At 40.2% G+C, this 27171-nt stretch overlaps 1 protein-coding gene across 28 annotated transcripts, besides 2 other annotated features; it reads left to right on the top strand.

Annotated features, from left to right (window-relative positions):
- Positions 2 to 27076, top strand: ZNF25 (zinc finger protein 25). Of its 28 annotated transcripts, none has more exons than NR_138063.2 (9): positions 2 to 143; positions 4628 to 4734; positions 4842 to 4941; positions 7659 to 7895; positions 19103 to 19229; positions 19534 to 19629; positions 19741 to 19859; positions 22891 to 22954; positions 23454 to 27076. NR_138063.2 is itself a non-coding variant. In NM_001329660.2 (9 exons), the coding sequence occupies exons 6-9, from the start codon at positions 19196 to 19198 to the stop codon at positions 24520 to 24522; spliced, it is 1263 nt and encodes a 420-aa protein (NP_001316589.1). In that variant the 5' UTR covers positions 2 to 143; positions 4842 to 4941; positions 6292 to 6355; positions 7659 to 7895; positions 8710 to 8732; positions 19103 to 19195; the 3' UTR covers positions 24523 to 27076. The 28 variants fall into 28 exon arrangements, 20 of the variants coding, with proteins under 20 accessions (NP_001316589.1, NP_001316590.1, NP_001316588.1 ...); NM_001329660.2 differs by lacking the exons at positions 4628 to 4734; positions 19741 to 19859 and adding exons at positions 6292 to 6355; positions 8710 to 8732; NM_001329661.2 differs by lacking the exons at positions 7659 to 7895; positions 19741 to 19859 and adding exons at positions 6292 to 6355; positions 8710 to 8732.
- Positions 29 to 438: a silencer, noted in NCBI's record as "silent region_2310". NCBI's record gives its function as "represses an Ori minimal core promoter by ATAC-STARR-seq in GM12878 lymphoblastoid cells {active_cell/tissue: GM12878}" and the evidence as "EXISTENCE:reporter gene assay evidence [ECO:0000049][PMID:35858748]".
- Positions 1029 to 1118: an enhancer, noted in NCBI's record as "active region_3271". NCBI's record gives its function as "activates an Ori minimal core promoter by ATAC-STARR-seq in GM12878 lymphoblastoid cells {active_cell/tissue: GM12878}" and the evidence as "EXISTENCE:reporter gene assay evidence [ECO:0000049][PMID:35858748]".
- Positions 27077 to 27171: the final 95 nt, after the last annotated feature.

The raw sequence follows: 27171 nt of genomic DNA, 5'->3' as shown, positions 1-27171 counted from the left end.
TGTCTTCTTTCTGGCATTGGCGTTTTTTTGGTCTTACGCCCTAGGGTGGGGAGAGGACTCCGGTGCCTCCGGGTCTGGGCTGGGCCGCAAAGGGCGGGGCCTGGGCCCGGCGCGGGCCGGGAGCAGAGGCCGAGACCCTGCAGGTGTGTCGAAGGCTTTTGCGGGCGGGCAGGGCCTGGGAGGCGGGGTCTCGAGCCTGGAAGCCGCCTCCTGGCCCCGGAGCGGCCTCCGCGGAGGGCCCTGGGTGGGAGCCGCCTGGTGGGGAGGTTGGCTGGCTGCGCTGGCGCCCCTGCCCGGAATGGCGTTTGCGCGACCTGCTTGAGGGGCGGCCAGAGGAGGCCTGCGGTGCTGGGCAGTGGGCGCCCGGAGCAGCCGCATTGTGTGACGTGACCGGAGCCGCCATGTGAGGCGCGCTGGCCGCTGCAGACGCGGCGCTCCAAAGCCGCAGGGACGTGGGCTCTGGTCCAGCGTCTGTAGGTGGTCCCAGTGCGGCTCGACGCGCATCTGGCAAATGATGGGGGCCTTTGGGTACTGAATAGGGTAATAGATGTAAAGTATGATACAGGACTCAATAAAGGTGAGCTGCTTCTATTATTACAAAACATGCTGTTTTCATTATTGGCTCATTTAATCATCGTAACCATCCTTTCGACTTAACCATCTCTATTAAAATAAATGTGACTATTAAAGATTCAGAGAGAGAAATCCGTTTACCCACAGTATTAGCAGGTGGGATGTAAATCCTCACTTTTTCCTCTGAGTTAATGCGCCTTGCCACACTAAAATCCAGTCTTGACTTGTATTTAGCACAGCATTTGCCCCTTGAGCACCACCAGAACGTAGCTGTGTGGTGTACTTGAACCCAGTCTCAACCAGGTAGTGTTCTGTTTCCAAAAATGCTTGGGGAATCTTCAGAGCACTTGAGTCAAAAGGTGAATTATTTAAGGCCTTCCTGCATCCTCCAACCTTAGTCTCTTCTCAGAGGACTGTGAAACGTGTAAATTGAAACCACAATTTGAGCCCTCAATTTTGCATTTTACAGGAGAAGCTGGGAATCCCATCCAGCCCAGAGGCTAGTTTCTAAAGACAGGAAATGGGACAAAAAATTTTTTTAAAGATGAAAACTGCAGTTCATCAGTTCCTCCATTTTATGGTGGTGATCTTATAATGCCTCTCATTGGCTGATAACTGAGCTTAGGCATTTCGTAAGCACCATGCTAGCTGGAAGTGGTTTTTGCTGCTTATTTTAGTTTTTTTTTTTGGTACATAATGTACATATTTGTGGGGTACATGTGATATTTTGATATATGCATACAATGTGTCATGATCAAATCGGGGTAATTACAATATCCACCGCCTCATTTATCATTTCTTTGTGTTGCAAATATTCGAAATCTTCTAGCTATTCTGATAGCTAATAAATTATTGCTAACACTTGTAACCATACTGTGCTATTGAACACTAGGACTTAATCCTTCTACCTAACTGTATTTTTGTACCCATTAACCAACCTCTCTTCATTCCTCACTCCCTACTTCCCTTCGCAGCCTCTGGTAACCATCATTCTACATCGTATCTTCATGAGATCAACTATCTTAGCTCCTGCGTATGAGTGAGAACATGATATTTGTCTTTCTGTGCCTGGCTTATTTCATGTAACATAATGCCCTCCAGTTCCATCTTTGTTGCTGCAATGACAAAATTTCCTTCTTTTTATGTCTGAATAATATTCCATTGTGTATATATACCACAATTTTCATTATCTATTCATGCATTGATGGGTACTTAGGTGGATTCTGTATCTAGACTATTGTGAATAGTGCTGCGATAAAAATGGGAGTGCAGAGATATCTTCAATATACGGATTTCCCTTCTTTTGGATATATATATAGCAGTGAGATTGCTAGATCATATGGTAATTCTGTTTTCAATTTTTTGAGGAACCTCCATACTGTTTTCCACAGTGGCTGTACTAGTTTACATTGCCACCAAGGTTGTATGAGGGTTCTCCTTTCTCTATATCCCAGCATTTGTTATTTTTTTGCCTTTTTTATAATAGCTGTTTTAAGGGGTAAAATGATATCCCATTATGGTTTTGATTTGCATTTGTCTGATGATTAATGATGTTGAAGATTTTATCGTATACCTATTGGCCATTTGTATGTCTTCTATTGTGGAATGTCTGTTCAGATCATTTGCTCAATTTTTTTAAATCAAATTTTTTGTTTTCTGACTGTTGAGTTCCTTGTATATTCTGGTTATTAATTCCTTGTCAGATGGGTAGTTTGCAAATATTTTCTCCTATTCTTTGGGTGTCTTTTCACTGTTATTGCTTACTTTGCTGTGCTGAAACTTTTTCGTTTGATGTAATCCCATTCATCTATTTTTGCCTTTGTTGCTTGTGCTTTTGAGGTCTTACCAAAAAATTTTTGCCGAGAACAATGTTCTGAAGCATTTCCAAATGTTTTCTTCAAGTAGTTTCATAGTTTCAGGTCATACATTTAACTCTTTAATCCACTATCATTTGATTTTTGCATATGATGAGAGACAGGGGTTTAGTTTCATTCTTCTGCGTATGGATATCCAGTTTTCTCAGCACCATTTATTGAAGAAACTGTCATTTCTCCAATGTATGTTCTTAGTGCCTTTGTCAAAAATGAAATTGGCTATAAATGCATGTATTTATTTCTCAATTCTCTTTTTCATTGATCTATGTGTCTCTTTTTATGCCAGTAACCTACTGTTTTGTTTACTATAGCTTTATAGTATATTTTGAAGTCTGGTAGTACAATGCCTCCACCTTTGTTCTTTTTGCACAAAATTGCTTTGGCTACTCGGGGTCTTTGGTGGTTCCATATAAATTTTAGGATTTTTTTTCCTATTTCTGTGAAGAATGTCATTGGTATTTGGATATGGATTGCATTTAATCTGTAGACTGCTTTTAGTACTATGGACATTTTAACAATATTAATTCTGCCAGTCCATGAGCATGGGATATCTTTCCATTTTAATATCATTCATCAGTGTTTTATACTCTTTTTTTTTTTTTTTTGAGACAAGGGCTCAGTTTGGTGCAATCTTGGCTCACTGCAACCTCTGTCTCCCAGGGTCAAGCGATTCTCCTGCCTCAACCTCCCGAGTAGCTGGGATTATAGGAGTGCACCACCATACCTGTGTAATTTTTTTTGTATTTTTAGTGGAGACAGGGTTTTGCCACATTGGCCAGTCTGATTTTGAACTCCTGACCTCAGGTGATCCACCTGCCTACACCTCCCAAAGTGTTGGGATTACAGGTGTGAGCCACAGTGCCCAGCCTGTTTTATACTTTTAATCATAGGATCTTTTACATTTTTGGTTAAATTTATTCCTAGGTGTTGGGGTTTTTTTGGTAGCTGTTGTAAATGGGATTGCTTTCTTGATTTGTTTTTCAGATTGTTCACTGTTGGTGTATGGAAATGCTACTGATTTTTTTTTTTTTTTGAGATAGAGTTTTGCTCTTGTTGCCTAGGCTGGAGTGCAGTGGCATGATCTTGGCTCACTGCAACCTCCGCCTCCTGGATTCAAGCAATTCTCCTGCCTCAGCCTCCCGAGTAGCTGGGATTACAGGCATGCGCCACCACACCTGGCTAATTTTGTACTTTTAGTAGTGACTGGTTTTTCTCCCTGTTGGTCAGGCTGGTCTTGAACTCCCAACCTCAGGTGATTCACCCACCTTGGCCTCCCAAAATGCTGGGATTACAGGCGTGAGCCACCGTGCCTGGCCTGCTACTGGTTTTCTAATGTTGATTTTGTATCCTGCAGCTTTACTGAGTTCATGTATCAGTTCTACCAGTTTTTTCGGTGGAGTCTTTATGTTTTTCTAAATATAGGGTCATGTCATCTGTGAACAAAGATAATTTGATTTTTTCTTTCCAATTTGGATGCCCTGCATGGTTTCTGCTGCTTATGAAAAGGACCTTAGGATTATGACGTAGTTGCCTTTTGCTACCTATATGAAGTGCTTGTTTGAGAATTATGATGATTAACTGTTATTTTAGAAGGTAGATTTGTGTCACTGTCAGCAGATTAGATTCTCAAGTCAGAGTTCATCAGGGCCTAATTAAATTTTACCTTAGGCCCAGCCCAAGTTTTGAGGGCACAGTGCATTGCAGGTACTGTCTGTATTGGTGATCCTGGGTGAAGATATATAGAAGTAGAATGGTACATGAAGGGTTGTGCAAGATTATCTAATTCCTACTCATTTTGAAGACAAAAGCATTGAAACTAAGACAATCACTAAGTTTATTAATAGCAGAGCCTAGAGTAGAACTGAGTCTTTAAGTTCATTATATCATATTTATATCAAAAGAAGGTTCTTGGAGAAATGGTTTCTGAGAAACTGCAATTTAGGGAGAAGAAATGTCTTATGTTTGAGAACTTTGAAAATTCAGACTTTCTAACCTTGGGTTTATAATAGAAAAAAATGGTTATGATATGTAACTTAATTACCTTTTATGTGCCAATAAATATATCTCTTCAACATCATTTCTAGTGTCAGCAAAGGGCTCCATACTTTGGATATATTATACATGTTATTTAATCAGTCATTATTGGATATTTAAGTTTTCGATTCTTTTGTGTTATTCAGAAAACAGAAACATAATTTTCAAAGCAACCAATAGGAAAGAAATGTGTAGATTCACTAAAAAATGTCCCAGGCTCATCAACATTAATATCAGAGTCAGAAGTGGACAGGTGGGTGCTACTTCATCATGGTCCTTACTATGCTTTCTAATGGGTCAAAGGGACATTTTCTCAAAGGTATATATTTTACTAAAATGTTGTATGGAAATTTCTCACAGGTGATTCCTGGGGCTGCCAGCTAAGGTCCCTTATGATTTCTGCTCTGGCTTTGCAGTTTTCAGCCTTTCCCAAGAGCAGCAGAAAATGAACAAGTTCCAGGTGAGTCATTTACTTAGCCCTAACTTTGTTTCACTGTGTGTGTGTGTGTGTGTGTGTGTGTGTGTGTGTGTGTGTGTTTAATGAGTTTTATGAACGAGAGCCCATATACTAAATTAGAAACGTAGAAATAGTTAAAAATCACCTACAGGCAAAATACCGTTTGAATAAAACAGCAATTCTCAAAATGTGGTCTGCAGATCCCTGGGAGCTCCAAGACCCTCTCAAGGGATCTATGAGGTTGAGACTCAGAGTGCTAAGATGTAGATTGCCTTTTACACTGTTGATACTTGCACTGGTGGCATGAAAACCATGCTAAATAGGTTACTGCCTTTTTGGCATAAAGTAGACAATGACATTGATACTAACAAATGTGAATTTTTTTTTTTTTTTTTGAGATGGAGTCTCGCTCTGTTGCCCAAGCTGGAGTGCAATGGTATAATCTTGGCTCACTGCAGCCTCTGTCTCCCAGGTTCAAGTGATTCTCCTGCCTCAGCCTCATGAGTAGCTGGGATTACAGGCACCTGCCACCATGCCCAGCTAATTTTTTGTATTTTTAGTAGAGAAGGGGTTTCCCCATGTTGGCCAGGCTGGTCTCAAATTCCTGACCTCAAATGATCCTCCCGCCTTAGCCTCCCAAATGCTGGGATTACAGGCGTGAGCTACTGCGCCAGGCCACAAATGTGATTTTAAAAATATATTTTATAACAATATGTCAACATTTGAGTAGTATTTCTGAGGTATATGTTTGGAGACAAACTCAAGCAATTTAGGAGGACAAAGTGATACAGAGAAGTGAGGAATGAGTTATAGGTTGATTAGGACAATGCTACCCTAAAATATAATGTTTGAGGAAAGTCCTGAATTAGAGAGAGAGCCAAGTAGAAATCTGAGGGAGCAGCATTGTGGGTAGGAAAAACAGCAATACAGACACCCCAAATCATGTTCCAGAAACAGTATGTAGGATATTGAAGCTAGAGAGATATGACTTAGGGAAAGAATGGTAAGAGGTAACATCAAAAAGGTAGAGGAAGCTAGAATATGTATGGCCCTGGTAGACTGTAGAAAACATTGAATTTTGTTTTGTTTTGTTTTGTTTGCTCATTTAAAAATCATCCTTTACATAATCAAAGGAATGTACATAATGAAACCTGACCTTAGGGGGGAAAGAATTTAGCCATTCAATAATAAGGATGGTATAAACTATGGATTTTATATAAATGCCTTTTATCAGATGAAGGAAGTTCCCTTCTTTTCCTAGTTTGTTCAGAGTTTTTATCATGAATGGATCTTGAATTTTGTCAAATGTTCTTCTGCTTTTTTTGGGATAATCATGTTGTTTTTCTTTTTTAGTTTGTTAGCATAGTGAACTGCACTGATTGATGTTCAAATGTGGAATCAACCTTGCATTGCCAGGGTAAATTGGTCACAATGTGTTTATATTTTTATATATTGCTGAATTAGATTTGCTAACATTTTGTTGAGGATTTTTGCATCTATCACCATGAGGAATATTGATCAGTGATCAATATACTAGTAAATGTTTAATAATCAGATTTTAGGGGTTGGGATAGAAATCTGGTTTATACTGTTTACCAATTTCTGTGGTATAAATACTCCCACCATGGCAAATTTCAAGCTACAACATGCCAGCCAGATTCTGAAAACTTAACCATCAGCTCTTCTGAGCTGATACAAACTGGTGCCAGCAACCACTGTAGTTGTCATTTCTGGTGATGTTTTTGTTAGATTTGGGTCTCAGGGTCATGTGAGCCTTATAAAGTGAGTCGAGAATGGTTATTTTTTCTTGGTTTTATGGAAGAAATTACATATAATTGGTATTGTTTCTGGCTTATTGTTTGATTGAATTCACCAATGAAACCATTTAGGCCTGAAGTTGTCTTTGTTCAAAGGTTTTGTTTACTTGTTTTAATTGAAGTGAAATTCACATTCATCATTTAAAAGTATACAATTGTAAGGTATTAATATTTAGTACATTCACAGTATTGTGTAACACCACCTCTACCTAGTTACAAAACATTTTCACCATCCCAAAAGAAAACCCCATTCCCATTAAGCAGTCATTCCCTGTTCTCTCTCCCTCTTTCCCCTGGCAACCACTAATATGTTATCTATCTCTATGGATCTACCTAGTCTAGATATTTCGTGTAAGTGAGATCATACATTAGGTGACCTTTTGTATCTGCCTTCTTTTACTTAGCATGTTTTCCAGGTTCATCCACCTTGAAGCATGTATCAGTACATCATTCCTTTTTATGGCTAAAATGCCATTGTGTATATACACCACAATTTGTTTATCCATTCATCCATTGACAGACATTTGGGTGGTTTCCACTTTTTGGTTATTATGAATAATGCTGTTATGCAAATTCATCTGTAAGTATTTGATACCTATTTTCAATTATTTCGGGTATATACCTAAAAATGGAATTGCTGGGATGTATGGCAATTCTATGTTTAACTTTTTGAGGAACTGCCAAACTTCCACAGCAGCTGCACCGTTTTACATTCCCATTAGCAATGTACAAGGGTTTCAGTTTCTCCATATACCCCCAACACCTGCCATTTTTAAAATTATGCCCATTATAATTGGGGTGGGGGGGTGAAGTGGTATTGTTGCGGTTTTGCATTGCATTTCTTTAGAGATGAGTGATGCTGAACATCTTCTATTGTGCTTTTTTCTGCTATTTTTTTTCTAGTGTGCTTTTTGGCCATTTGTATATACTGTCATCAATTGGTATATGCAGGTGATTGGTTCCAGGACCCCTGCATGTACTTAAATCCACACATACTCAAGTCCTACAGTCAGCCCTTCAGAACCCACGTGTGCAAAAAATTGGCCCTCCATATGTGTGGGTTTCCAATCTTGCAAATACTACATTTTCAATCTATGTTAGGTTGAAAATAATCTGCATCCAAGCCTGTGTTGTTCAAGGGTGAGTTGTGTTATTTGGAGAAATGTACACTCAAGTTCTTTGCCCATTTCCTACCTGGGCTGTTTATCTTTTTGTTGTTGAATTATAAGAACATTTTATGGCCAGGCATAGTGGCTCATGCCTGTAATCCCAGCATTTTGGGAGGCCAGGGTGGGTGGATCACTTGAGGTCAGGAGTTCAGACCAGCCTGGTCAACATGGTGAAACCCTGTCTCTACTAAAAATACAAAAATTAGCTGGGCTTGGTGGTGCACACAGGTAGTCCCAGCTACTTGGGAGGCTGAGGCAGGAGAATCACTTGAACCGAGGAGGTGGAGGTTGCAGTGAGTCGAGATGGCGCCACTGCATTCCAGCCTGGGTGACAGAGCAAGACTCTGTCTTAAAAAAAAAAAAAAAATTGGCCGGGTGCAGTGGCTCATGCCTGTAATCTCAACACTTTGGGAGGCTGAGGCAGGCGGATCACGAGGTCAGGAGTTTGAGACAGGCCTGGCCAATACGGTGAAACTCCATGTCTGTTAAAAATACAAAAATCAGTTAGGCATGATGGCATGTGCCTGTAGTCACAGCTACTTGGGAGGCTGAGGCAGGAGAATTGCTCGAACCCGGGAGGCAGAGGTTGTGGTGAGCTGAGATGGCGCCACTGCACTCCAGCCTGGGCAACAGAGGGAGACTCTGTCTCAGATGATTTGCAAATATTTTCCAGACTGTGTGTTGTCTTTTCTCCATTGTGACAATGTTCTATAATGCACAAACATTTCAAATTATGATGAAGTAAAATTTATTTTTCTTTTGTTTGTGCTTTTGGTGTCATATAGAAGAATCCATTGCCAAATTCAAGGTAGGCTATGTTTTCTTCTAAGAGTTCTACATGTTTAACTCATATATTTAGGTCATTGATCCATTTTGAATTGATTTTTGCATATGATGTGAGGTAGAGTTCCCATTTAACTCACGCATGTGGGTATTGAGTTTTCCCAGTATTATTTGATGAAGAGACTATTCTTTTCCCACTGAATGGTCTTGACAGCCTCGTTGAAAATCAGTTGGGGCTGAACGTGGTGGCTCATGCCTGTAATCCTAACACTTTAGGTGACCGAAGTGGGCAGATCTCTTGAGCCCAGGAATTTGAAACCATCCTGGGCAACATGACAAGACCCTGTCTCTGCAAAATACAAAAATTAGCCAGGTGGGTGGTGTGCACTTTTAGTCCCAGATACTTGGGAGGCTGAGGTGGGGGCATCACCTGAGCCTGGGGAGGTCCAGGCTGCAGTAAGCCATGACTGGACCATTGCACTCCAGCCAGTGAGACCCTGTCTCAGAAAAAAAAAAAAAAGAAGAAAATCATGTGGTCGTAGATACATGGGTTTATTTCTGAACTCAGTTCTATCCCATTAGATTGTATGTCTGTCCTTATGCCAGTACCTCACTGTTTTGATAACTGCAGCTTTGCAGTAAGTTTTGAAATTGTGAAGTGTGAGTCCTCTGACTTTATTCTTCTTTCCCAATGTTGTTTTGGCTACTGGGGACCCCTTGCAATTCCGTATGAATTGGAGGATAATCTTTTCCATTTCTGTGCAAAAGCCATTGGGAGTTTGATAGGGACTGGTTTGAATCTGTAGATTTCTTTGGGTAGTATTGTCATTTGAACCATATTAAGTCTCCCAGTCCATGAATACAGGATGCCATCTCATTTCTTTAGGTCTCATCTTAGTATAGCCAGCCAGCTCTCTTTTGGTTACTACTATTTTCGTGAAATGCCTTTTTCCATCCTTTCTTTTCAGCCTACTTGTGTCTTTGGATCTAAATTTAATTTTAGAAGGCATATATTTGAATCATGTTTTTAATATCCATTCAGTCAATCTCCACCTTTAACTCGTGAGTCTAATCTATTTAAAGTGATGTTTGATAAAGACTTACTTCTGCAACTTGGCATTTTTCTTCAACATACTTTATATATTTTCCTTTAATTCCTCCGTGATATGGTTTGGCTCTGTGTCCCCACCCAAATCTCATGTGAAATTGTAACCCTCAATGTTGGAGGAGGGGCCTGGTGGGAGGTGATTAGATCATGGGGGCAGACTTCCCCCTTGCTGTTCTTGAGATAGTGAGTGAGTTCTGACAAGATCTGGGTAAAAGTGTGTAGCACTTCCCCCTTTGCCCTCTATCTCCTGCTCTGCCATGTGAAGATGTGCCAACTTCTCCTTCACCTTCTGCTATGACTGTAAGCTTCCTGAGGCCTACACAGCCATGCTTCCTGCGCAGCCTGTGGAACCATGAGTCAATTAAACCTCTTTTCTTTGTAAATTACCCAGTCTCAGGTAGTTTTTTTTTTTTTTTAATTGAGATGGAGTCCTGCTCTGTCACCCAGGCTGGAGTGCAGTGGTGCGATCTTGGCTCACTGCAACCTCCACCTCCCGGGTTCAAGAGATTCTCGTGGTTCAGCCTTCCAAGTAGCTGGGATTATAGGTGCATGCCACCATGCCTGGCTAATTTTTTGTATTTTTAGTACAGACAGGGTTTCACCATGTTGGCCATGTTGAACTCCTGATCTCAAGTGATGTGCTCACCTCAGCCTCCCAAGGTGCTGGGATTACAGGAGTGAGCCACCACGCCAAGCCTTAGGTAGTTCTTTATAGCAATGTGATAACACACTAATACCCTCCAATACTGCCTTCTTTTTAATTTTTTTTCTAATGTACCATTTTGCTTTCCTCCTCATTTCCTTTTGTGAGTGTTTTAAGGTGTTTTTAGTGGTTACTCTTAGTATTACAATTAACTTTTCTAATTTTTAACAATCTGGTTTGAATTGATACCAACTTAGCTTCAGTAGTGTATACAAATTGCTGATATATAGCTGTTTCTCCCCCCTTTATGTTGTTACTGTCACAAATTATATTTTTGCATGTTGTATGACCATTAACATATATTTATAGTTACTATTTTATGCATTTGTCTTTTAAATCCTATAGGAAGCAAACAGAGGAGACATAATTTAAAAAATATCACAATACCAGCTTTTCTATGTACCTATATAGTTACCTTTACCTGTGTTCTTTATAGCTTCAAATGGCCTTGAATTGCTGTCTAGTGTCCTTTCATTTCAGACTGAAGGACTGCTTGTAGCATTTCTTATAAGGCAGGTCTACTAGAAACAGAGTCCTTTAGCTTTTATCTTGTAATGCCTTAATTTCTTCTGCATTATTGATGGATAGTCTTGATGGAAAAGAATTCTTGAAATAGAATTCTTTTCTTTCAGCACTTTAATGTGTCATCACACTGCCTTTTGGCTTTCACAGTTTCTGTTAAGAAATCTGCTTTAATCTTAATGGATTAATGGATTAATCTTAATGACTGGAGTTGACTGCTTTCAGCTTTTCCATGCTGAGGTTGCAAGTGGCTAGTGGCTCTAGCATTCCAAAGTATGGAGGGCAGTGGTCCCCTTCCCACAGCTCCATTAGGCAGTACCCCAGTGGGGGCTCTGTGTGGAGGCTCCAACCCCACATTTCCCCTCAACATTGCCCTAGTAGTTTCTCTGTGGGGGCTCCATCTCTGTGGCAGACTTCTGCCTGGACACCAAGGCTTTCCAGTACATCCTCTGAAATCTAGGGGGAAGCTGCCAAGCCTCCTTCATGCTTGCATTCTCAGCATCTGCAGACTTAACACTAGATAGAAACCATGAAGGATTACAGATTGTGCCCTCCTGAGCTTTGGCTCAAGCTGTACCTGGACCCCCTTGAGCTGAAGCTGGAACCAGAGCAGCTGAGATGTGGGGAACAGTGTCACAAGGCTGCACAGAGCTGCATTGCCTTAGGCCTGGCCCCTGAAACCATTCCTCCTAGGCCTCTGGGCCTGTGATGGAAGGCAGAGTCCCAAAGATCTCTGAAATGCCTTTAAGGCCTTTTCCCCATTGTCTTGGATTGTTACTTGGCTCCATTTGAGTCATGCTAATCTCTCTAGCAAGTGGTTGCTCCACAGCCTGCTTGGGCTTGGATTCTTTCTGTACCACAGGACCAGGCTGTAAACTTTCCAGACTTTATGCTTTGATTCCCTTTTAAATATCAGTTCCAACTTTAAGTCATTTCTTTGCTCCTATATTTGATCAAAGGCTATTAGGAGCAGTCAGGCCACATCTTGAATGCTTTGCTGCTTAGAAATTTCTTCTGCCAGATACCCTAGGTCATCAGTCTTAAGTTCAGTCTTCCACAGATCCGTAGGACATGCAGCCAAGCTCTGTGCCAGGACAAAACATGGGTGACCTATACTCCGGTTTCCAATACATTCCTCATTTTCTTCTGAGACCTCATCAGCTTAGCCTTCACTGTCCATGTCACTATCAGCATTTTGGTCACGACCATTTAATCCGTCTCTTAGAAGTTTCAAACATTCCCTCAGCTTAGTGTCTTCTTCTGAGCCCTCCAAATTCTTCCAACCTCTGCTTGTTACTCAGTTCCAAAGCTGCTTCTATATTTTCAGGTATCTTTATAGCAATGCTCTACTCCTCAGTACCTATTTTGTGTTAGTTGTTTTTTGCATTGCTACACAGAAATACCTGAGGCTGGGTCATTTATAAAGAAAAGAGGTTTAATTGGCTCATGGTTATGCAGGCTGTACAGGAAGCATGGCACTGGCATCTGCTCAGCTTCTGGTGAGGCCTCAGGGAGCTTTTACTTAGGGCAGAAAGTGAAGCAGGAGCCAGTACATCACATAGTGACAGTGGGAGCAAGAGAGAGAGATAAGGGGTAGGTCCTAGACTCTTTATTTATTTGCTTATTTATTTTTTGAGGTAGAGTCTCACTCTGTTACCCAGGCTGGAGTGCAGTGGCATGATCTTGGCTCACGGCAACCTCTGCCTCCCAGGTTGAAGCGATTCTCCTCCCTCAGCTTCCCAAGTAGTTGAGACTACAGGCGTGGACCACCACACCCGCCTAATTTTTGTATTTTTAGTAGAGACAGGGTTTCGCCATGTTGGCCAGGCTGGTCTCAAACTCCTGACCTCAGGTTATCCACCTGCTTTGGCCTCCCAAAGTGCTGGGATTACAAGTGTGAGCCACCACGCCTGGTGCCAGACTCTTTTAAACAACCAGATCTCATGTGAACCGAATCAGAACTCACTCATTATCAAGGGAATGGTGCTAAACCATCCATAAGAGATACACCCCCATGACCCAAATACCTCCTACCAGTCCCCAACTCCCACACTGGGGATTATATTTCAACATGAAATTTGGAGGGGACACACATCCAAACTGTATCAGTAGGCCAGTAAGAAAAAAGTGCCACACATTTTCTCCCCAAAATTTAGCAGCCTCTTTCTTTATTAAGTACTCCACTGAGGCTGGGCACAGTGGCTCTCGCCTATAATCCCAGCACTTTGGGAGGTTGAGGCAAGTGGATCTCCTAAGGTCAGGAGTTCTAGACTAGCCTGGCCAACATGTGAAATCCCATCTCTACTAAAAATACAAAAATTAGCTGGATGTGGTGGTGGGCACCTGTAATCCCAGCTACTTGGGAGCCTGGGGCGGGGGAAGTGCTTGAACCCGGGAGGCAGAGGTTGTAGTTGCAGTGAGCTGAGATTGCACAGTTACGCTCCAGCCTGGGTGACAGAGCAAGACTCTGTCTCAAAAAATAAATAAATAAATAAATAAATAGAAAAGAAAAAAAAAGTACTCCACTGGTTGATGGTTTAAAAAAAAAAAAAGATTCTAGAGTTCCAAAAAGTTTGATTCTATCAGTTTTTGTCAGCTTTAATGGTTGCCTCAGTGGAGGGACCAATTCTTAGAGCTCCCTAAGTCACCATTTCTCAGGAAATCACTCGTGTTGAAAGGTTTTTAACTACAGATTCAGTTTATTTAATATAATTGATACTAGGTAATATTATTTATCTTAGATATTTCTTCCTGAGTGAGTTTTGATAGTTATCTTCTTTCAAAGAATTAATCCATTTCATCTAAGTTGTAAAATTTATGCATATAGACTGGTTCTTAGTATTCTTTTATTATCCTTTTACTGTTTGTAGGGCCTATTGTAACTATTCCCCTTTTCATTTTTGATATTGTTAACATGTATTTTTTATCTTGGTCATTCTGGATATAGGTTTATCAGCTTTCTTAGTTTTTTCAGAGAACCAACTTCAAATGTTATTTTCTAATAACATTAAACAAAGTGCTCACCTATTATTTTCAAGTATTTGATGACATTCCAGATAAGTTTCTGTTACTGATTCTAGTTTGTCTACTGTGTTCAGAGAATGTATTTGGTAGATTTCAATTCTTTCAGTTTAAGATATTTTTCTGGCCCAGAAAATGGTCTTTCAGTGAATATTTGATGAAAAGATGTGAGCACTTTGTTAACATATTTAGAAGTATCTTTGAAGGACAGTTTAGTATACAAAATAGTCTTTTCCTTCTCACTTCTTCTGTAAGCAGTCCGTTTTAAATTTTCTAGTTTCCTGTTAAGGCTATATGAGAATTAAGTTCTTATTCTTATATATCCGTTAGCTTTTTTTTTTTTTTTGAGATGGAAGTCTCGCTCTCTCGCCCAGGCTGGAGTGCAGTGGCACAATCTTGGCTCACTGCAACCTCTGCCTCCTGGATTCAAGCAATTCTCTGCCTCAGCCTCCTGAGTAGCTGGGATTAAAAGCTACTCAGCCTACCACCATGCCCTGCTAATTTTTTGTATTTTTAGTAGAGATGGGGTTTCACCATGTTGACCAGGCTGGTCTTGAACTCCTGACCTCATGATCCACCTGCCTCAGCCTCCCAAAGTGCTGGGATTACAGGCATGAGCCATTGCACCTGGCCATCTGTTAGGTTTTTTTTTTTTTTTTTTTTTTGAGATGGAGTTTCAATCTTTGTTGCTCAGGCTGGAGTGCAATGCCATGATCTCGGCTCACCACAACATCCGCATCCCAGGTTCAAGTGCTTCTTCTGCCTCAGCCTCCTGAGTAGCTGGGATTACAGGCATGAGCCACCACGCCTGGCTAATTTTGTATTTTTAATAGAGACGGGGTTTTTCCATGTTGGTCAGGCTGGTCTCGAACTCCCGACCTCAGGTGATCTGCCTGCCTCGGCCTCCCAAAGTGCTGGGATTACAGGCATGAGCCACCACACCTGGCCCTATTAGCTTTTATATCTGATTTGCCATGTGATTTTTTTTTTGTAGTTTCTTTTAAGTATATTCTAGAATGCCTTGCAAATATGGTGCATCGTTTGTATGCTTTTAACATTTTTGTATTTATGAAAACATCTCTTTTTATCATCCTTGAATGAAAAATTTGGCAGGGCATGGAATTCTAGGTTCAAAACCTTTATCCTTTGTGGGCATTTTTTCTTTGTCTTTTAACATTTGGTTCTACATATGAGAAGTCATATGTCAGTTTTGTCCTTACCCTCTTAGGTAGTCTCTTAATTGCTGAAATAGAATTGCTGTCATTTAAGAAACTAGTACTTGTATGTTTTCACAGAAATAGAAGTGTTGCTTTAAAAAAATACAGATGTATTTCAACGAATAAAATGTCCATGTGTGTATATAACACAATCTTGTGTTTCTCTTTTTGTATTGTGCCCATATTTAGGGACCCTGGTGAAGTAATCATGTTGCCCAATTGACCCTGGTAGCATTATGTGGTAGGGTCTTTTCATCAGCTCTTGGTTTATACTGGATGCTCTTTGGTTTTTGTTGTTGTTGTTTTTTAAGTGAGGAGTCTTTAATTAATTTTCCTATCAGTCATCCTTCTGTCCTTAACAAACCCCAGCCCTTTGACTCTGAGCATAGAAGTTTACATGAGCTCTTGTTAGGATGTGTGTCCAAGAGCTGGATTCTCTTATCTGCTCTTAGGAATTCTAGATATTTCCAACATTTCTCAAAAGGCCTGCTTACTTATTACAGTTTTCACTCCTTTGCTGTGCTTGTGTGTGGTTATGCTAATTTGGACTCTTTACATTTGGATTTTGAACTACAGCTGTCCCTTATTTGTAAGTCTCCCTTTCTTTGGTTTCCTAGATACTCCTCCTGGCTTACTCTTATGTTTAGAGAAGTTCTCTCAGGCTCCATGGTCTGGGCCTAGTCTCCTGCCATTATCTCGGATACTGGTGTTCCCACAGCTTCTTTGTTTTTTTTTTTTTTTTTTTTTGAGATGGAGTCTTGCTCGGTCACCCAGGCAGGAGTGCAGTGGTGTGATCTCAGCTCACTCCAACCTCCACCTCCTGGGTTCACGTCATTCTCCTGCCTCAGCCTCCCGAGTAGCTGGGATTACAGGCGCCCATCACCACGCCCGGCTAATTTTTTTTTTTTTTTTGTATTTTTAGTAGAGACGGGGTCTCACTGTGTTAGCCAGGATGGTCTCGATCTCCTGACCTCGTGATCCGCCCGCCTCAGCCTCCCGAAGTGCTGGGATTACAGGCGTGAGCCACCACACCCGGCCCCCACAGCTTCCTTTTTGGGCTCTTCTAGAACTCTATTTTTTATATATTTGAAAATTCTGTTTGTGGAAACTTACTCATATGTGTATCTGCAAAAATGGACAATTCCAGCTTTATGTTCCACAGTCACTTTAAGCCCAGAATGAACAAAATTCAACTCATTAACTCCTGCCCAACTTACCCTTTTCCTTGTATTCCTGTTTTCATTTACAGACTTCCTGGTTGCCACACAATAATGTTAGTTTATAAAAAATTAGCCGAGCATGGTGGCGGGCATCTATAGTCCCAGCTACTCGGGAGGCTGAGCCAGGAGAATGGTGTGAACCCGGGAGGCAGAGCTTGCAGTGAGCTAAGATCGCGCCCCTGCACTCCAGCCTGGGTGACAGAGCGAGACTCCGTTTTAAAACAACAACAACAAAAAAACCGGTTGGGCATGGTGGCTCAGGCTGGTAATCCCAGCACTTTGGGAGGCCAAGGTGGGCAGATTACCTGAGGTCAGGAGTTCGAGACCAGCCTGGCCAACATGCTGAAACCGCATCTCTACTAAAAATACAAAAATTAGCCAGGCGTGGTGGCGGGCGCCTATAGTCCCAGCTACTCAGGAGGCTGAGGCAGGAGAATGGCATGAACCTGGGAGGCGGAGGTTGCAGTGAGCCGAGATTGCACCATTGCACTCCAGCCTGGGAGACAGAGCCAGACTCCATCTCAAAAGAAAAAAGAAAAAAAAAATGAACCAAGAATTTATATCCAGCCAAGATGTTCTGCAAGTAAAAATACTGCCTTTCAGATTTCATGGAGTATAAATAAAGCAATAATTAGAGGAAATTTCATAGCCTTAAACAGTTCTACCAATAAAAGTGAAGGAATGAAAATAATTGGCACTATAACTGTACCCACGAGCGAGACATACAGACACTATGGGAGCTGCCCTCCCCCTTTCTCCCAGTGGTTAGTAACTAATTTCCAATTAATTACAAAGTTGTGTTATACTTCTTTCCCCCACTGCTGTTGCTTTCATATAAATGTTTTTCTTATTTTTCTAATGTGCCATTTGCCACCTCTATATTAAAATTTTCTCCTATACCACTCATTTACCCCTATAACTCCAGTGCTTACTTGACACATCTCTTCAGTGGCTCCTGGTTTCTATATTTTCATCTACACAGTGAATGGTGAGCATCCCAGAGATATATAAGACATTTCACATAGTATGAAATGACAGAATATCTATTTGTGTTTTGTCTTATATAAACAAAAACAAACTTGTTAAATTTATTATTATTTTTGAGATGGAGTTTCACTCTGTCACCCAAGCTGGAGTTCAGTGGCACGATCTTGGCTTACTGCAACCTCTGCCTCCCAGGTTCAAGCCATTCTCTTGGCTCAGCTTCCTGAGTATCTGGGACTACAGGTGTGTGCCACCACGCCCGGCTAATTTTTGTATTTTTTAGTAGAGATGGGGATTTGCCGTGTTGGCCAGGCTGGTCTCAAACTCCTGCCTTCAGGTTATCCACCTGCTTCGGCCTCCAAAAGTGGTGGGATTACAGGCGTGGGCCACTGTACCCAGCCTAATTTTTTTTTTTTTGATAGAGTCTTACTGTGTCTCACTGCAGCCTTAACTTCCCAGGTTCATGCGATTCTCTCATATCACCCTCTCAAGTAGCTGGTGTTACAGGCCTGAGCCACCACACCCACCTCCTTAATTCTTAATAAACATTAATACATGCAAAGGTATGTATTATATTAATAAGCAGAGATGTATTTGTTAAGTGTGTATGTAAAATATATTTTACTGGTCCAAAAGACAGATTCAGAATTTCTTCTTGTCCTGTCCCTTGACTTTTCACTGTAACCTTCTAACTAATCTTGGTCCTATGCCTTACCGTAAGTACATACCTACCAACCTATGGTATATACCTACCATTATGTACCCACAATAGGTATCATACCTACCAAATTATATGTGGTTTCCTAAACTTACCATTTCTCATGCATCCATGCCTTTGCCAGTTGTGTTTTCTTTATTCCTAAAGTTAGTCAGTTTGACCACCTAATAAAATCTAACATGATAATATGAAATGCAAATAATTACCCCCATTTGTGACCATCTCATGTTGTATACATGTTTCTGTAATGGCACCTGCTTCACATACTGTATTTTAGCATTTTCACCTTTGTCTCCCTGGCAAAAATATAAGCTCCTCGATATCAGGAATAGAGTCATGTGTCACTTAGTGACAGGGATATGTTATGAGAAACATATCATTAGGTGACTTCATCGTGCAAACATCATAGAGTGTCCTTACACAAGCCTAGATGGTACAGCTGACTGCACACCTAGGCTATGTGGTGTAGCCCATTGCTTCTAGGCTACAAACCTGTACAGTGTGTTACTGTACTGAACACTGTAGGCAACTTGTAACACAATGGTAAGAATTTGTGTATCTAAACATAGAAAACAGACAATAAAAATACTATATTTTTTTATAGGATCATCATCATATATGGAATTTGTCATTACTGAAATGTCATTATGTGGCATATGACACTCATTTTTTTTCTTCATCTTTGTATCTTCAGCAGAGTTCCAGGCATGGAGTGGGAGCTCAGTAAATATGTAATGAACAAATATTCCTTCTATGAATAAAGCAGGGTACAGCATGGCAAATATCCTAACTCTCCAGAATGAACTTTGCAGTTAGTACACTAAGAGCTAGTTCACATGTCTTTTCAATGGTATGCAATCTATTCTGGTTACTTCAAATTGAACTGAAGTATGTTATTCCAGGGACCCGTGACATTAAAGGATGTTATTGTGGAATTCACCAAGGAAGAATGGAAGTTACTGACCCCTGCTCAGAGGACTCTGTATAAGGATGTGATGCTGGAAAACTATAGTCACCTTGTCTCAGTGGGTGAGGAAAACTTCCCCAGGTGTAAATCCCAGTAGTTTGCATCTATCTTCTCAGTTACTGGAGTATAAAATGTCCCTATAGGGTTGAATGATTGACATTATCTATGATTCAGAGGTCGAAGTTAATAAATCCATTTTGGGTACTAGAAAAAATATTTGTGTCCCTCTCTCCCCGCTGAAAGAATCTAAATTTGCCAAGCCTAACTGGAACCTTCATTATTATCCTGAAACTCCACTTCCTCATCTTTCACAGTCCCTAAATTCCAAGCAATTTGTATCATTTCCTTGATATTTTCCATTCATAGGTTACCATGTGAATAAGCCAAATGCAGTCTTCAAGTTGAAGCAAGGAAAAGAGCCATGGATATTAGAAGTAGAATTTCCACATCGGGGCTTCCCTGGTGAGTTAGAAGAAATTATATCCCATGTTACTGGTGAGTAGTTGGTGCCTCTTGCCTTCTGAAGTACTTTTCGGCAATCTCTCACTTTTTTTTTTTTTTTTTTTGAAACAGAGTTTCACTCTTGTTGTCCAGGCTGGAGTCCAATGTTGCCATCTCAGCTCACTGCAACCTCCACCTCCCAGGTTCAAGCAATTCTCCTCCCTCAGCCTCCCGAGTAGCTGGGATTACAGGCATGTACCACCAGCCTGGCTAATTTGGTACTTTTAGTAGAGATGGGGTTTCTCCATGTTGGTCAGGCTGGTCTTGAACTCCCAACCTCAGGTGATCTGCCCACCTCGGCCTCCCAAAGTGCTAGGATTACAGGTGTGAGTCACCGTGCCCGGCCTCAGCAGTCTCTTTATAAATGCCCTGTAGTTTTGGAAGCGATTAAGGACACTTTATTTGCACGTGTAAAAAAACCTAATTCACACCTCCAATTTTTGTTCTCTCCACTTAAATTCTCTTCTTTGCTAGACATGTTTTAAATAGATTTACTTCTCTTTCCTGTATACAAACTCTTATCTCTCCTTACCCTTGTAAGACTTTGTCTTTTTGTCTAGAATCGCCAGTTACTCCCTGCCATTAGAGTATGCAACTATAAAGTGTTTGTAAATCTGACTTATAACGTTTTTAAATGGCATCGCCTTCCTTTTATTAACAATAAAATACCTCAGTTATTTTGGCACCACTTTTAACTTCCCATTTTTTCTTTAAACTCTGAGCTCAGATTAAAAATCGGTATGCTGCTCATCAATTCTTTCATTTTGGAGTTGCTACTTCCTGCTATACAGTGTTTATCCTTCCCACAAAGCACTGCTTATCCTCCCTAAACTTATTTGGATAACACTAAGACAATCTCATCCTGCCTTCTTAAATGTTTGTCACGTATTTTCTAACTTGTGCACAGATGTGTTGCCAGTATCAGGAACAATGCCTAGTACATATTAGTTGCTCGCTAGATATTTGTTGAAAGAATGAATATTAATTAACAAGAGACTGGCTGGGAGTGGCGGCTCATGCCTGTAATCCCAGCACTTTGGGAGGCCAAAGTGGGTGGATCACTTGAGGCCCGAGTTCGAGACCAGCCTGGCCAACATGGTGAAACCCTGTCTCTACTAAAAATACAAAAATTAGCCGGGCTTGGTGGTGCACACCTGTAGTCCCAGCTATTCGGGAGGCTGAGGCTTAGGCATGAGAATTGCTTAAACCCAGGAAGCAGTGGTTACAGTGAGCCAAGATCGCCCCACTGCACTCCAGCCTGGACAACAGTGAGACTCATGTTCATGAAAAAAAGAAATAATAAATATATAAAATAATTAACAACAGACACTTTCTACTTTCTGCTCTGTTCCTTTTATTAACTCCTGTAGAAGCTCATCCATTCTTAAAGCCAATGCATTGGTTTTTATGATAAGGATTCCTAAAATTGACCTCTCCAGCATCTTTGCCCTATTTATATTCTGATCCCATATTTTTACCTTCTTGTAAGATAGTTCTGCTTATTCTACTTCCTTCCTTGTTAGGGTCAAAACAAAAATTGTTGATTTAAATTCCCACAGTAGTTGTGTAATGCAGCAGATGTACATTGCCAGAAGCCTGCATGGTATACTTAATACTGACTCAGTATTAAGTCCTTTAGACAAAATAAAAGTCTTACAAGGGTAAGGAGGTATTAGTAATATTCATTTAAATGAATTTTTTGTCAGGAACTAGTCTGGCCCTCTCTTGCCTATGCAACTTATTTCTCCTTGTGGCCCCCAAACACCTGTTAATCTCCATTTTACTATGCTCTTAAATGTTTTCCAAACATAAGATTTTTTTTTTTTTTATATGGAGTCTCACTCTGTTGCGCAGGCTGGCATGCAGTGGTGCGATCTCAGCTCACTGCAACCTCCACCTCCTGAGTTCAAGTGATTCTCCTGCCTCAGCCTCTTGAGTAGCTGGGATTACAGGTGCCCACAACCAGATCCAGCTAATTTTTGTATTTTTAGTAGAGGTGGGGTTTCACCATGTTGGTCAGGCTGGTCTCGAACTCCTGACCTCAGGTGATCCACCCACCTCAGCCTCTCAAAGTGCCGGGATTACAGGCATGAGCCACCGTTCCTGGCTTATACATATGATCTTATTTCATGTGTTCCTGAGTTAACGTCGCATAAGTCACTATGAAGTGACTTTTCTTATGTATTCCCCACCATTGCTATGAAATTCCAACCCCAAGCATCTGCTGATAATCTTTCACTTGCTTTCATGCATTTAAAGATGCATAAATATGAAGGTCACTAAAGATTCTAGAATGATGTTCAATAATTGGACCTTTAAAGATCCTGTAGTAAATTGGAAGCAGAGATGGAGGAAGCAAGATATGAAAATGAAATTCAAGACTAGTGTTGAGTCATGAGTAACAAGTGCGTTAGAAGTGCAGGATTTGATGGTCAGGATGAGTTCAGGATTGAAAATCTCTGGTGGTACAACTAGGAATTCATCCTTGTATAGATGGCTTATCCCAATGCTTTTAAGAAAATCCTTCCTTTTGGATATATGTGGTCCTCTGTCTTCCTGTCCTGAAAATAAAGCCAACTAGATGGAGAGTGAAAGCCCAAGCTACAGGACTCTTCCTCTAAGCATGAGGAAACTGATGTTCTGAAAAAGTCACTTTAGTAATTGACACCTAGATTGCTGTGGATGGATGAAGAGGAAATAAAGTAGAAGTTTGTCTGCTAAATGCTAGGAATCCTAGCACAGTAATCTAGGTTTGAGGGAATAAAGACCTATACTTCAGCTCCTTCTTTCAGTTTAATCTTTTCCATGTATTCCAGGGGACACTGTTGTCCAGTAGTTTTTCTTAACTTGCTTACTGTTCATGGTCCTTAAGGGGCTCACAGTATTCTCTATACTTCCCACACTCCCGTTCAGCAACACTTCGAATGTCCTATGTTCTCCTCTCCCGGTTCTTTTTTTGTCTTTAACTTTCACCTCCAAACTCTTATGGTCACATTTGTAAAAATGTCAGAGTACATGGGTCTACAAGTAGAATCCTCCTTCTGTGTGTGACAGCAGTTTTCAGTGTTTGTTTTAGGTTTTTTTCCCAAAACAATGGGCTAGAGGAAATTTGCATTTGAGGTTCTTTCATTATGAGAAATTGGCCTGAAGCCTAAGAATCAATGCTATGACAATATTAATGTGTAGTATTTATAAAGTATTACATTTTTGGTTCCCTTGTAGAAGACCTATGGAGCATTCATGATCTAGAAGCAAGATACCAGGAAAGCCAAGCTGGAAATTCAAGGCAAGTTCAAGAATTAATGTTTAAGATAGAAGATTTGTAAGCAAGAGTCTTAAAGGAGTTACTAGAAATGGGAGGGCACTAGTTAATACTAAACGTGAGAAAACTAACACTGCAGAGCAAATCCCAAGGAATATAATCCAAATGGGACTGCCCCTTTTCATAGAGACCTTGTGCAGGATCGGGAGATTGAAACTTTGAAGTGGTCTTTTTACTCTTCTGAATTAAGTAATGAAAGGGAGTCTCTATTACACAAAATAGAATGCAGGCAATTGAGAGACCCTGTGAATAGAATGCAAATGCAGATTCACCTTACCAAATGTTAAACTACAGTGCAGGTCAGAGAATGCTCACAGTGGAGAAACCCTATGGATCCAGTAAATATGGGAACATCTCTAGAAATCGGTCCTCAGAGGTACTTGGAAAATACGCCCAGTGGAGCAGGGGGAACAAAAAGCCTTAAAAGTCTTACACATTAATGAATGTGGAACTTTCTGTCTAGGAATGGAGAACTCACAAAACATCAGAAAACTCATACCACAGAGAAAGCCTGTGAATGTAAGGAATGTGGGAAGTTCTTCTGCCAGAAGTCTGCCCTCATAGTACATCAGCATACTCACTCAAAGGGCAAATCCTATGACTGTGATAAATGTGGGAAATCTTTCTCTAAAAATGAAGACCTCATAAGACATCAGAAAATTCACACGAGAGATAAAACCTATGAGTGTAAAGAATGTAAGAAAATATTTTACCACCTATCATCTCTCAGTAGACATCTGAGAACCCATGCAGGAGAGAAACCCTATGAATGTAATCAGTGTGAAAAATCCTTCTACCAGAAACCACATCTCACAGAACATCAGAAAACACACACAGGGGAGAAACCTTTTGAATGTACTGAATGTGGGAAGTTCTTCTATGTGAAGGCATACCTCATGGTACATCAGAAAACACACACAGGGGAGAAACCCTATGAGTGTAAGGAGTGTGGGAAAGCCTTTTCCCAGAAGTCACACCTCACAGTACATCAGAGAATGCACACAGGGGAGAAACCCTATAAATGTAAGGAATGTGGGAAATTCTTCTCTAGGAATTCACACCTCAAAACTCATCAGAGAAGTCACACAGGAGAGAAACCCTATGAATGTAAGGAATGTAGGAAATGCTTCTACCAGAAGTCAGCCCTCACAGTACATCAGCGAACTCACACAGGGGAGAAACCCTTTGAATGTAATAAATGTGGGAAAACATTTTACTATAAATCAGACCTCACTAAACATCAGAGAAAACACACAGGGGAGAAGCCCTATGAATGCACAGAATGTGGCAAATCTTTTGCTGTGAATTCAGTCCTCAGATTACATCAAAGGACTCACACAGGAGAGAAGCCCTATGCATGCAAGGAATGTGGGAAGTCCTTTTCTCAGAAGTCACATTTTATTATACATCAGAGAAAACACACAGGGGAGAAGCCCTATGAGTGTCAGGAGTGTGGGGAAACCTTTATCCAGAAGTCACAACTCACTGCACATCAGAAGACACACACAAAGAAGAGGAATGCTGAGAAGTAAGATGAGTTGGGAAATTCTCTTGACTGAATTAATCCTTCAAAACAATCAGATAATTCACACAAGAGGTACACCTTATGAATCGCATCAATAGAGGGAAATTTTCAGCTACAATCTTTGCTCTCTCTGTGTATCAGCAAATACATAGAGAGATTCTGTACATTTATTTGGGAGAAAATTTTATCATATTTTAGGCTTTTCTAAATATTAGATAATATAGATGGCAGAAGTCATGCAAATTGTAAAACAGGAAGGAAACCTTTCAGAAGTCATACTTTTGTTTTGCAACATAGAAGTCACACAGGAGAAAAATCCTGTAAGTAAAACGAATGTCAAGACATTTTCTGTCAGGGCAGCCAGCTGTAGACATCCAAAAGCTCACAAATGAGAAGCTCCTTGAGTATCTAGAAATCTCTTTACACAATTGGAGCTCATGTACTAGAGAATTCAAAGGGATAACTGCAAAGACACTGGTAGATATAGAAGCCTTTATTAAGAATTGATGTTTCATTCAATTTCAGATCACTGGTACTTGGATAGATATTTTAAATATTTGGAAGGTGTTCAATAAAAATTCAAATAATTTGTACTGAGGGAAACAGTTATACTACAAATCATGTTGCAGATCTGATGCCGAGATTGCTCTATTTTAAAAGGAAACCTGCAAATGTCTACATATATGAAGCTTTTAAAAAGCACAAGTTATCAGGCAACATCATTAAACATACATTAAATGTCTGTTAGCATATAGGATTTTGTGCGTATGTGAGTGTGCTATAACATGTAACTTGCGGATGTTCAGCGTGCATGTGGAATCCATCCATAATGGTACATAGCGAAATAATATAATCTTAGTTCAGTAACTATTATGTGTATGAAGATGTTGCACATTAAGTCTCAGTAGTGACTCTGGTTGTTAATATTTGTATTGTAAGTGTAATATTCCTTTTAAATTATAAGGCATCTTTTTATCCTTTTTTGTGTTTGTAAATGGATATAGACAGTGGTAATAACTAATCCTTCAAAAATAAGTTAAAATGTTTTTGTAAAATTTTCAAATGTCAGTCAAGTTTTGCATTAGGGACACATTTATATATAGCAAAAGCCTGAGCTGTTTTTAAACAGCTAAAAACAGTAGTATTTATTACAATCTCCACAATGAAAACAAATAGTGCAATGTAAGAAATATTATGTATCTTACTGTTGATGTGTGAGCAGGGAGCAGAGCTATCTGCATTTGTATTTAGTGTGAGAGTCCTAAATGTTCTTCACCAACTTTTTCTTCCTCATAGAAGCAACATGGCATAGTTAAGGGTGTGGACTCTGGGCTCCTGCTGCCTGGGCCCCGATTCCAGCATGGGGCATGCTACTTAATATCTCTGTGCCTCAGTTCCCATCCCATAAAAGAGTAGTGATAGTGACAACATCTTAGGATTGCTTTGAGGTCTAAATGAGTTAACATTTTCAAAGCACTTAGAATAGTGTCTGAGACACAAGAGCTATATGTTAGAGGTTATCATCATTATTTGTATTTTGTGAATTACGCTGCAAAAAAAAAAAAAATGTTGGCTACCCAACATTCATTCCCCACCTTCTTGCTGCCAGTGCCTTGATTTGGTTGTTTGTTGTTTGTTTGTTTTCCTACAAGTGATTTAGGGGCAGATCCTGACTACACTAAGTCAGGGTTTGACAAATGACAGTCCATCAGACAGATCTGGCCCACTACCCATTTTTGTATCCTGCAAGCTAAGAATGGTTTTATATTTCTAAATGGTTGAAAGAATCAAAGAATATTGTGACACATGAAAATTATATGATATTCAAATTTCAGTGTCCATAAATAAAGTTTTGAAAACATGAATACAAACAAAAAACACCTATTTATGTTTGACCTGTGGCTGTCTTTGCACTACCCCAGCAGAGTTGAGTAGTTGTAGCAGACACCACATGCCCTTGAGCCTAAGATCTAGCACTTTACAAAGTAAGTTTTTCTGTTACTTAGAGCTGAAAATAAAAGCAATGTAGAGTTACGCTTTTATAAGTATTTCATGTTTCAGAAATGATGCATACAGCAATTTGTAGGTGGGTGGTTTTTTGCAGTATATTTATTTTGTGCATTATATTTATATGTTAAGAGCCTGAGCTTAGAAGTATTTTTTTCAAAGAAATGTGTTTTTTACTTGCTAAATTGTCATAACATCAAAACAAGAAATTTCTTGATGGAATGTAGCAGTAAACATATGAAATAAACATTGTCTAAATTAAGTCGAATTGTTCATTGATACTGCCCCACAGTATTCCTTTGTTTTCTCCCAAATCAATGGCCAGTTTTCCCTGTATCATTTTATAATTTTCTTTCTATCCCATAAGATACCATTGGTAAGTCATACTTAGCTAACGTAACCCAATAACAAAAAACTTACAATACCCAATTCCATCAGCTACATTACTAGTAATCTATAAAATTATTGCCTGCACTTCATGTAATTGTCATATGCTGCTACAATCTAAACCTGCCAGCGTCTTACTTCCCCTTCCTAATAAAGACTTTCATTGATGTTCAGCTTCTTTTTGTATGTGTGGCGGGGTCTTGCTCTGTCACCCAGGCTGGAATGCAGTGATGTGATCTCGGCTCACTGCAACTTCCACTTC

Source organism: Homo sapiens, chromosome 10 (assembly GCF_000001405.40).
Source record: "Homo sapiens chromosome 10, GRCh38.p14 Primary Assembly".
Taxonomy (NCBI): Eukaryota; Metazoa; Chordata; class Mammalia; order Primates; family Hominidae; genus Homo; species Homo sapiens.
Note: the sequence above shows the minus strand (reverse complement) of the source record. Positions and strands in the feature narration are given on the sequence as shown.

Coding starts and splice junctions, on each gene's coding strand:
- ZNF25 (NM_001329649.2), top strand. CDS start 6,329: ATGTGGAATCAACCTTGCATTGCCAGG. Junction 19,230..19,533: donor TAGTCACCTTGTCTCAGTGG/GTGAGGAAAACT, acceptor TTCCATTCATAG/GTTACCATGTGAATAAGCCA. Junction 22,955..23,453: donor AGCCAAGCTGGAAATTCAAG/GCAAGTTCAAGA, acceptor CTTTCTGTCTAG/GAATGGAGAACTCACAAAAC.